This window comes from Homo sapiens, chromosome 5 (assembly GCF_000001405.40).
Source record: "Homo sapiens chromosome 5, GRCh38.p14 Primary Assembly".
Taxonomy (NCBI): domain Eukaryota; kingdom Metazoa; phylum Chordata; class Mammalia; order Primates; family Hominidae; genus Homo; species Homo sapiens.
The window spans coordinates 148,654,703-148,665,137 of record NC_000005.10 but is presented as its reverse complement, the minus strand read 5'-3'; positions in this window follow the sequence as shown (position 1 = coordinate 148,665,137).

Genomic DNA, 10,435 nt, shown 5'->3' with positions numbered 1-10,435 from the left:
AGTAAGACATATTCACTGTAGAGAATTTGGCAAATACTGAAAAATATAAATTTTAAAAAGCAAGCATGAACTCTGATTCTGCCCCTCAGAGACAACCACTGTTAACGTTTTGTGAAATTTCTCATAGATTTTTAATCTAGAACCACAGGAATTTCTACTATAGGATACTATTAAATGTGCTGTTAGGCATTCCACTTTTTCTCTTGGTAACATTTTGTGAAAGTTTCCTCATTTTATTTAAGTAGTCTATGCAACCACATTTAGATATGCTTATGTGTGTGTATACTATACAGAATGCTTTCCAGTGATGTCTTTCATAATTTAGCATTGCCGTTAGGCAAGGACCCATCCACAAACCATGTGTTTTGATGTTTTACTCCTTACTCCATGCCTAATTGTATTTTCTTCATTTTTTATTCTTTACATCAATTTTTAAAAAAATCTAGTAATACAGTGCTTATAAGAAAAGACAAAAAGGCATATGTCTGTTTACCACCTAAGAATCAGCCATCTCTAGAAGAGAGATCTTTTTGTTTGAGTTTGTCTATCAGGACTGTTTAATTTTGAAAAGTATAAAAAATTAGCTGGTCGTATGCGGTGGCTCACGCCTGTAATTCCAGCACTTTGGGAGGCCGAGGTGGGCGGATCACAAGGTCAGGAGATCCAGACCATACTGGCTAACGCAGTGAAACCCTGTCTCTACTAAAAATACAAAAATTAGCCGGGCGTGGTGGCAGGCACCTGTAGTCCCAGCTGCTGGGGAGGCTGAGGCAGGAGAATGGTGTGAACCCGGGAGGCGTAGCTTGCAGTGAGCCGAGATCGCGCCACTGCACTCCAGCCTGGGTGACGGAGCGAGACTCCGTCTCAAAAAAAAAAAAAAAAAAAAGCTGTATTGGTTAGAAGTAGGTTTATTGTATATAATGGAAAATACAAATTAATAGTAGCTTGAACACTTCATCATTAGTTTTCTCAGGTAGCAGAAGCCTGAAGATATGTAGTCGATCTTTACTATTTAAGCTCTATCAGGGACAAAGGCGCTGATAGTTTTCTTCTTCCTTATGACTTCCATTTTCAAATTTTCAATATGCCTGCTGTTGGAGCTCATCATTCTACAGAACAGGAATGAGTAAGGAATCAGAATAAATATGGCATGCTCTAGCCATATCAGGAACTTTGAAGGAGTCTTCCTGAAAGTTCCATACCGCCCATCTGCTTAAATTTCACTGGCCAGATCTCAGCCAAAGGCTGAGAAGTTACAAATGTAGTCATTTACCACTGAATAAAATCGAGGTTTTACTATTCATGGAAAGACATGAAGAATATTGGGTAGGCAATTAGACAATATATTGCCTCACATAACTGAATAGTTCAAGGGTTGTTTATAGCTTCAGGTACAGTTTGATCTGATTTATGACAACATAATCAGGACTTTGATTTCATTTTCTCAGACAGTCTCTGGCTCATTCTCCTCATGTTGTTTTTACTGGCTGTCTCTTGGATGGCAGAGATGGCTGTAACATTTCATGATATATAATCCTTCTACCTCACTGTCCAAAGAAAGAGAGAAACATTATTTCTGAGGACTCTCACGGAAGGCAAAAATGTTTTCTTCCCAGAATCCTAAGCAAAGGCTCTTTGTGTATCATTAGCCCAGCTGGATCACTTGCTTATGCCTGATTCAGTCATTATGACCAGGCGGATGGGATATACTGATTGGTTTAGGCCAATTAAGATGATCCCTAGCACTGGCAATGAGTTTAACTTCCCTACAACACAGATTGTCTGGATGGGGAGATGTGATTACTGCACATGAACATGAACATGAACATGAACATGAAACCAGTGTTCACTACAACTTTTCTGGAAATTACCTCCCTCTTTCTATGTAGTATGCTTACATAGATATTTCTTCATTTGTTGTTTAGTGAACTCCCCATATTATTTCCTCTTCTAGTCACCTCTGCAACTTTAAATAGCACAATTATACTTTGATTTTAATGTACATTCCATTAACCACAGGAGACAGACATCTCTTGACTCCTATTTTGTATGATGAGGACATCAAAGTTTCTTTATCCACTCATCACACTTTCTCACCTCTACTTCCCAATTATTATGTCGGTTGTATCATTGTTTTTATAATGTTGAGATGGAGAAATATATATTCTGTCCTGCTACATTCGTTAGGTCTTTTCAAATATCCAGGTTCATTCTAAAAGTTTAAAATTAGAAAACAACATGTAAATTTTTATGACATTATAAATACTGTTCCTTGGTGGTCCAGGTGGTTACACTTTTCTTCTAGGTCATCAAAGACACAAGCTTGTGCCACTGAAGTTTAAATGGTTTCTCTGTTTCTAACCAGCACAAAATACCTTTACCATTTCTGTAAGTTTTTCAGGATCTCAGTTAAACTGATTTACCCCTTTTATTTATTTCTTTCCTCTAGAGACCTCTCTTCCATGATCATCCAGGGTGAATTAGACCAGGTCCTCCTGAGACCAGCAGCGTGGATGTTGTATATCCAAAAGGTAGATCTGGGGCTTAGAAAATAATTCTGGGCTGGAGTGCAAAATTTGAGACTTATTAGGATACAATTGGTAATTAAGCAAGGCTTGTGGATGAAATAGTATGGGGGTAGGGGGACTGTAGTGAAAGGAGTGAGAGGAGAAGAGGGAGGGCTTTGACATTTAAGTGCTAGCCAGAGAAGGAGTTGGCAAAAGAGACTGAGCTTTTCAAATCTTAGCATCAGATAATCAACAAGCTGGAGGAGCAGCAGAAAGTGATGTTGAATCTCACACCTGGAACAGGGGTTTTTGCTTCAGCATTCCTGGCAGATGGCATCTAGCCTGTGCTTTGATACCTGCAGTGCTAGACAGCCCCAAATGTTGAAACAGTCTTATACTAAACTGAATTATTTCTCTGTAATATTCTGGCCCCTATTCCACCTTCTCATGCATCAGAAATCCAGCCTGATTGTATTGTTTCTCTCTGCATAATAGTGGTCCAAATAATCTGAGATAGTTAAGTGCTCAATACGTGTAATGCAATCAACCATTAATGTTGTTTTTACATTGTTGTTACTATTAACGACATTTTATTTCATAGTTGCTCATGGCAAAAGCTTTAATGTCAGACAGCTTGAATTCCAACCTTGGCTCTGCTCCTTTCTAGCCATGTTTTCTCAATATCAAGTTTCTTAGTCTTTCTGTGCTTTGTTTCTTTTCCTTTGTAAAATTGCAATAGTAATAGAATCTCCTTCATACACTTGCTATGAGGCTCGACTGAGATAATGCATATAAAACGCTTATCACAGTGACTAGCAAATAGTATGTGCTCCATAAATGTTTATGTAATAATAAAATAATGACAGTAATAATAACAATAATAATGAACTCCACTTGCTGCCTATGCTTACCTTATTAATGATCTCAGTGAGTTGAAATTATCTGGGTCCAACTCCATCTCCTTTACTTGGCTTGGAGTGCTTTGAAAAGTGGAGTCCTATCTTTTTATTCATCATATCCTGCAGGGTTAAGTACAGGGGCCACCACATAGAAAATGAGTAAAATGTTTGTGGAACAAATACTTGCCAACCTCCTAGATAGCCTGGTTGCCCTTTTTTAAACATTAAGTGATAGCTCTAATCATCCACTAATCATCTTATTATTATCTGTTGGAGACCCCAAAGGGATCCACATGCACCACAAATGCAAATATGTCAGCCACACTCACCTTGTCCCTCTTTTCTCTGACCATCTCCACTGCCTGCAGTGCTGCCTGGAGATGAATCCTGTTGCCCCTGCCAATCATGAAAGCACCAGTGTCTGTGCCAAGGAGGCTAGCTGGAAATGACATGAAGACCTGCCTCTCCAGGGTCAAGGAAAGGTCCTCCTCCCTGAGTCTAGCCCTGCTTTATTAATTAGGCCCAGAACACAGCATCTTGTCTTGTGCTTAAACCCCTCTTGAACACTCCTATTGATTTTTGCTGCTAACCCCTTCTCTGTAGAGCTCAAACCAGTTTAAGGGATCTTCAGGGGCCAGAGGCCATTCCTTGTCTCCTACTTTTCTTCCCACTGTAGCCCCTTCCTCCTCAGGGCTTCCTTTCCTACTTACATGACAAGAGCCTCTAGGTGTATGAATGGGATCAACCTGTAAGGGGAAGGGGTGATGGACAGTATGGAGTAGGAACTCATTCAAAGATGCCCCATTAATATATTATTTAAAATGTGTCTCTAAGTATAGTTGTCCATGTTAAATTTCACTTTTGCAGTATCCTGAACATGGCAGTGGTTTCACAACTCTATAGCTTGGTCGAAACTCACAGATCTGTACACCCAAACCAGCAAATTTTACTACATATAAATCTAAAAACAAATTATAAAATTTTAGTGTTGTCAGGATTTTCCCAGTCCTTCATACTCTTGATGTCTGTTTCATTGTTTTGGCTGCCCTTGCCCGAAAGAGCTGACTCGGGACACTGTTTTCTAGATTTCCTTTCCAGTACCCTGAATGTTCATCTATTTGATTTTTATTGATAATAAAATATGAATTAGTTAACTGCAGTCTCAAACATAAATAGATTAAACCAAACAATACCGGGAAGACTGGAGGACAAAGACCAGCTAACACAGAAAGGGGCCAGGAGGCTCTTATCTGGACTGTGATAACTCTGCTTTGCCACCCTTTATCTGCCTCTGTTCTCTGCTGCTTCACACGGTCGGCTTTTCAGTGTTCAAACAGCAGGTTAATATGGAGTTTGCCGGATAGTAAGTGATTAAGAACGCCCTATTTTGAATTGATGTGGTCTTATGTTCCCTTGCTCAATTCTGTTAATTCCTTTTGAACTAGGCTGACTTCTGGGCAGCTGTTTCCCAGTTAGATACAGTCTGAAGCCTCTCTCCTCCTTCTCTGGCTCCACATTCATTTTTTAGTTACAGACATATGATGTCACTGTGTCTGAACACCTGTTCTGCTTTACAACCCCTCCTGCATGTGAGTCTACTTCTTCCCAAGCCATCTCCTCTCATAAAAATGAGTGATCATCGTTTAGTTCACATGGAAGCGGTTTCCTTTGACATCCAAGGACCCTTGGTTCCTGGGCAACTGTGACCCCTCTGGAGAGGACAGATGCTCAAGGGAAAATCCAACTGTCCCTGTGTTCATGTTTCCACCCATTCACCTCTTACCAAGTGAGTGTCCACCCTAAGCCAGGTTCTTATGAAGTGCATTATCTCTTACTTCCAGCAGCTTACATTTTAGTGAAGGAGGCAGGGTGAGTGAAAAACACATCAATAAGTTATTTACAGAGTGAGATAAGGGCTATGAGTGACATCAACAGAGGCTTGAGACTGAAAATAACAGAGTGAGGGATAAGTGGAGCAGGGAAACCTGGACCTGTAAAAAAGAGATATTTATGCTGAAACAGAAGAGAAAGCATTTCAGGTCTGGGAAACTGTAAATGCAAAGGTCCTGAGACAAGAAAGAGCTGTGTGTAAGACTAGAAACCTAAAGCCCAGCATAGCTTCAGCACAGCAGGTGAGGAGAGTGCTGTGAGATGGGATGGGAGAGGAAGCAAGTTCCAGAACCTGAGCACCCCAGAGGCTGAGTAGAAAGGTCTGAGGCACAAGACCCACTCATTAATCTGATATGGGTTTGGGAGACTGGGAGATAATCATACACTTCAGAACATAGAGCAAAATAAGGATAAACATGGCCCTCTGCTGTAGATTTGACTCTTACAAACAACAAATTGCAAATGTTTCTCCATTTCCAACTTTATTTGGAGGAGGTTTTATTAGAAGTTCCTTCCTGAGATAGAGTGATTGTCTATAAGGTAAACTGAGATGCCTGTGAATGACCCATGTGCCCATATATGACACAGTGTCTTGCTCTAGGATCTTATTTACTCTGTGGTGTTTATTAAAATAAAGCCAGTCACCCTGGCTTTATTATGGGAAAGGTATTCACAGTTTGGTTTCCATGCCTTTGCAGCTGCATTAAAACTCTTTGTATAACTGTTTAAATTTTTAGCAGCTCTTAAGTGGATGGAAGGTATGCAGGCTTCAAGTTTGTGAATTCAAGAGAAGCATTGATTTATTTTAGCAATTTAAATTTGGAATTTAATTTCCATCTTCCTTGTTCCTTTCTCTTTGTTCTCTATTTTCTCTCTCTCTCTTTCTCACTCACTGTCTCTCTCTCTCTCTCTCTCTCTCACACACACACACACACACACACACACACACACCCCACACAGCGCTTTTCTGTAGCTAAGGCACCCTAAATACAATAGTTTTAAAACAAGCTTTGAGACTTTTAAGATAATCTCCATGGTGTGGTGCTGATGACACACTCCAGGCCATTTGACAGACTGCAACGTAGTAAGTACATAGCAGAATATTTGTACCAGTTGAGCAAAGTATGGTGTGGACAACCATTCAAGTTTATAAGTGAAATAATAGAATCAAAGAACATCATCTCTTTGAGTGGTGTTTCTGGCCTGGTAGCTCCACTGAGCTGGTTGTACAGGGTCCCTGGCAGGGAAACTGAGCCTGTGGCCGGAACAGCACAGGTTTCTGGCACATCGCAGGGACAGGGACATGTAGGGGGCATTTAGGCTGCCAGCTTCCATGTTACCTTCCAAACAGCATCATCAATTTACTGGAAAAATATATTGCCCATTGTGTGTAGTCATAGTGGTGGGACCAGGGCCTCTCCCTCCAATCCTCTGACTCAGAACAAGGAGAAAAAAGACACATAGCAAACCTTGGCCACCCAGTGTATTCTCCAGGGACTCTGAATTTGGGAGAGTGACCCACCCAAGGATGGAAAACTTGTGGAAGCCATTCACCATGTCAGGAGTGATGCTGTGGCATCTTGGTTGAGTTTGTCTGTGAACCGGTTGCTGTGCTTTCTGCTTTATGGTTCTCCAGAGCTCTCCTGGTGCCTGCTTCTCCAAGCTTGCTTCCTGGTATCTCAGTGGTTCTGTGAGTTTCTCATATTATTTCAATCATTTTCTTTTGTTTAAGGTAGCTAGAATCTGTTTCTGTTGTTTGCTCTCAAACGCCTTAATTAAGATGGTACAATAAATGTTCCTAGAGTGAATAAATTAACAGAATAAAGTATGCCCAGATTAAATTTCAAGTGTTTTGTGACTTTTCCCTTCTTTCATCATAATCAGAAAACTGAACCCCATCTGTAGATGAGTTTTCTTGAAAGTTGGATAAATATGAAAGTTTTATATGATGCCTTTTGGAGGCAAAACAGTTTTGTAAAAATAATTGAAACTTTTAAATATATGGCTATTGTATGGTAGTTAGAAAGTTCAGACAAGCATAAAAAGAATATAAGCATATCCACAAACATCTTTTTATACAATGAATATCAATTGACAAAATCATGCTCAATACCTGAGCATATCTCATGGGAGGGATAATATAGTTTAAGTGGTGAATCTCTCATGATTAAACATTTGAGTTCCCTCCAAGTACCCACTCTTATAAAAGGCCCGGCAGTGAACATTCTTTTAGGCAAATCCTTGAATGCATAAGCTTATTACCCTTAGGATACATTTCAAGAAATAGAATTGCTGGGCCAAAGACTTTGCACGTTTATAATGATTTTACTCACAATAGTAGCCCTTTAAAAAGTTGATTAAAAAAATGAAGAGCCCTTTTATTGTAGCTCTTCTTCAGCAAAAAAACAAGACAAACAAAAACAAAAAAATGGTCTACATTTCAAGGTATGCATCAAGGCAGCCCCATTTAAAACCACATTGCATTAACTGAGGTGCTTCAACTGGTCAGCCCAACTAAATAGAAACAGATGGTGCAAGAAAAATGAATTAATATCCTTGTCTATTCAATACAACAAGACATTGCACCTGCTGTCTTCATTCATATATTTAAAACTCATTTATAGAGTCCCTACTGTGTGCCTGGCATGGTTCTAGGGGCTGGGGGCATATGAAAGGAGGCAAGATCTAGTTTCCAGCTTTGAGGCATTCACAATCCAGTGAGCCATGCAGACCCATAAATAACTCACAAACAACACAGTGTGGTGGCCACTGCCACAGGAGAGGCATAAACACAGCATTCTGAGAGCAGCAAGCCAGAAGCAGTTTCAACCTGTGTGTAAAGTCTTCTTGTTCCCTTCTCTCTCACTAGAAAGCACTATTTAAAATGAGAATATGAGATACACCTTGAGAAATACAAACAGAGGGTTCTGCAGAAGTAAAGAAGGGAGAGATCAGGAACAACTCCAGGGAGTCCGTGGGCATTGGCAAGTGGTAGGACTGGCATCATGTGGAGGGTCATTCCGGAAGAGAGGGCATCGTGAGCACTGGTACAGAGCAGGAAAGAAAAGAAAGCGTTTGAAGAACAGACTGCTTGAAATAGAAGGTTTGGGTACAGTAAGATGGCTGAAAGTCTGGGCTACCTAAATTGATGTTAATAACAAGATAAAGCATTTGTGTGTAACTCCATATGTGAAAGAGAAGCATTGCATTAGTTAACTGTCATTGCTGCAACGAATTACCACTTGGTGGCTTAAAACAACACAAATTCATTATCTTACAGTTCTCTAGATTGGAAATCTAACATAGATCTCACTGTGCTAATATCATGGTGTCTGTGGAGCTGCCTTCCTTTCTGGAGGCTTTAGGGGAGAATCTGTTTCTTTGTCTTCCCCAGCTCCCAGAGACCATCAGCATTCTTTGACTTATGGCCCCTTCTTCTGTCTTCAAAGCCAGTGACAGCTGGTTGAGTCCTTATGTCCTCTCACTTTGACCTCCTCTTTTACCTCTCTCTTTTACTTTTAATAATATTTTAAGGACCCATTTGTATAATCCACAATAATCTTCCCATCTCAGAATCCTTAATCACATCTGCAAAGTCCCTTTTGCCATGCAAGGTAACATAACCACAGGTCCTTGGGATTAGGACATGGATATCTTTGGGGAGCTGCTTTCTACCTTTCATGGGTATTAGGGTTTTAGAGCAAAGAGTGATGCTGTTGGGGATCTATCTGCCTGAGGAAGACCATGCTGAGCTCAATGAAGAGGATGGACTGGAGGGAGAGAAGACCAGTTAGACAATCTTTGATGATTACCTCTCTCTCTCTCTCTCTCTCTCTCTCTCTCTCTCTATATATATATATATATATATATATATACACATACATACATACATATATATAAAATTAGGCCCAGTGGAAATAAGAAGGAAGGGACAGATGCAAATGACAGAGTGGAAATAGAGTCCCCAGGAACTGGCAAATGTTTGAGTAGAAAGTGGGGAGAAGGGGAACAGAGGTGGAGGTGTCAAAGATGATTCAGGCTCTGAGCATCCATGAGTGAGGATAATGGCTTTATTTAAGTGAGGTGTTTGGTTTAGGGAAGGGGAGTAGTGGCAAATTCAAGTTTAGATCTTATTGTCATTAAAGAAACAATCTACAGCTCCTCTCCTTTTAAATTTTTCATAGGGGATATGAGATAAATACATATTCAAGACATACACACCAAGGAAAGAACTAACAGGTGGAAATGGCTGAGAGATGTTGAGACAAAAACTTGGCACAAAGATGGTGAAGAAGACATACACAGAATGGGGACTCAGATGGGAGGAGAAGGAAAGAAGAGAGAAAAAAGTGTAAGAGTAAGATGGGGAAGAAATATAGACCATGAGGAAGAAGGAAGGACCTAACAAAATAGAGGGAAAATGAGAGACAAGGCATGTCAACAGAGAGAAACTAAAAAAGGGACCAACTCAAAGGTTTCTAGCATGGATAAGTTGGTCAATTTAAATTTCCAGTTCACTTGAGATGTGCTTACAATCGTTAAGTTAATAATTTTTAAGATTGTCTTTGCAGATTTATTTACTTTCAGAAGTTAATCACTGTCCACAGCTTCTCTGTTTTGTTTAGGTTCCAGGAGGCCTCAGTGGCCCTTGAGGGGGTGAATTATTCACCCATTACCCCTTTGCTCCCTGCCTGCCTCCGTGAAGGAAGGCTCTGCTCGCTCCTGCCCTTCCCAACATGCTTAGGCTAACTCTTGAATTATTTTATCCTTGGAATTTGAGGCTTTTGTCACATGTGTTGAGGAAAAATATTTTTCACTCTGTCACCGTCCCTCACAGGTACTGCAACTCACTAAGTGGCACACCTGCACCACACAACTGTGAGTTTATGCCCGTGTTACAGACGGGAGCGTTGAGGCTTGACTCTTGTTTAATTACATGCTCAAGGTCACAGGTGGTCAAAGCTGGGAGGACAGGCTAAGACAGCAAATAGTGGACTATCAATATGGACAGGATCATTTAGGAAGACTTCAGGCAAATGGAATCATTGTCTCTGGAAAACTTGAGTCTTATATCCAAGGTGCTACGAAGCTCACTCTGAACCCTGCACCCAAACTCTCCCTGCTCTGGCAGAGGCAGAG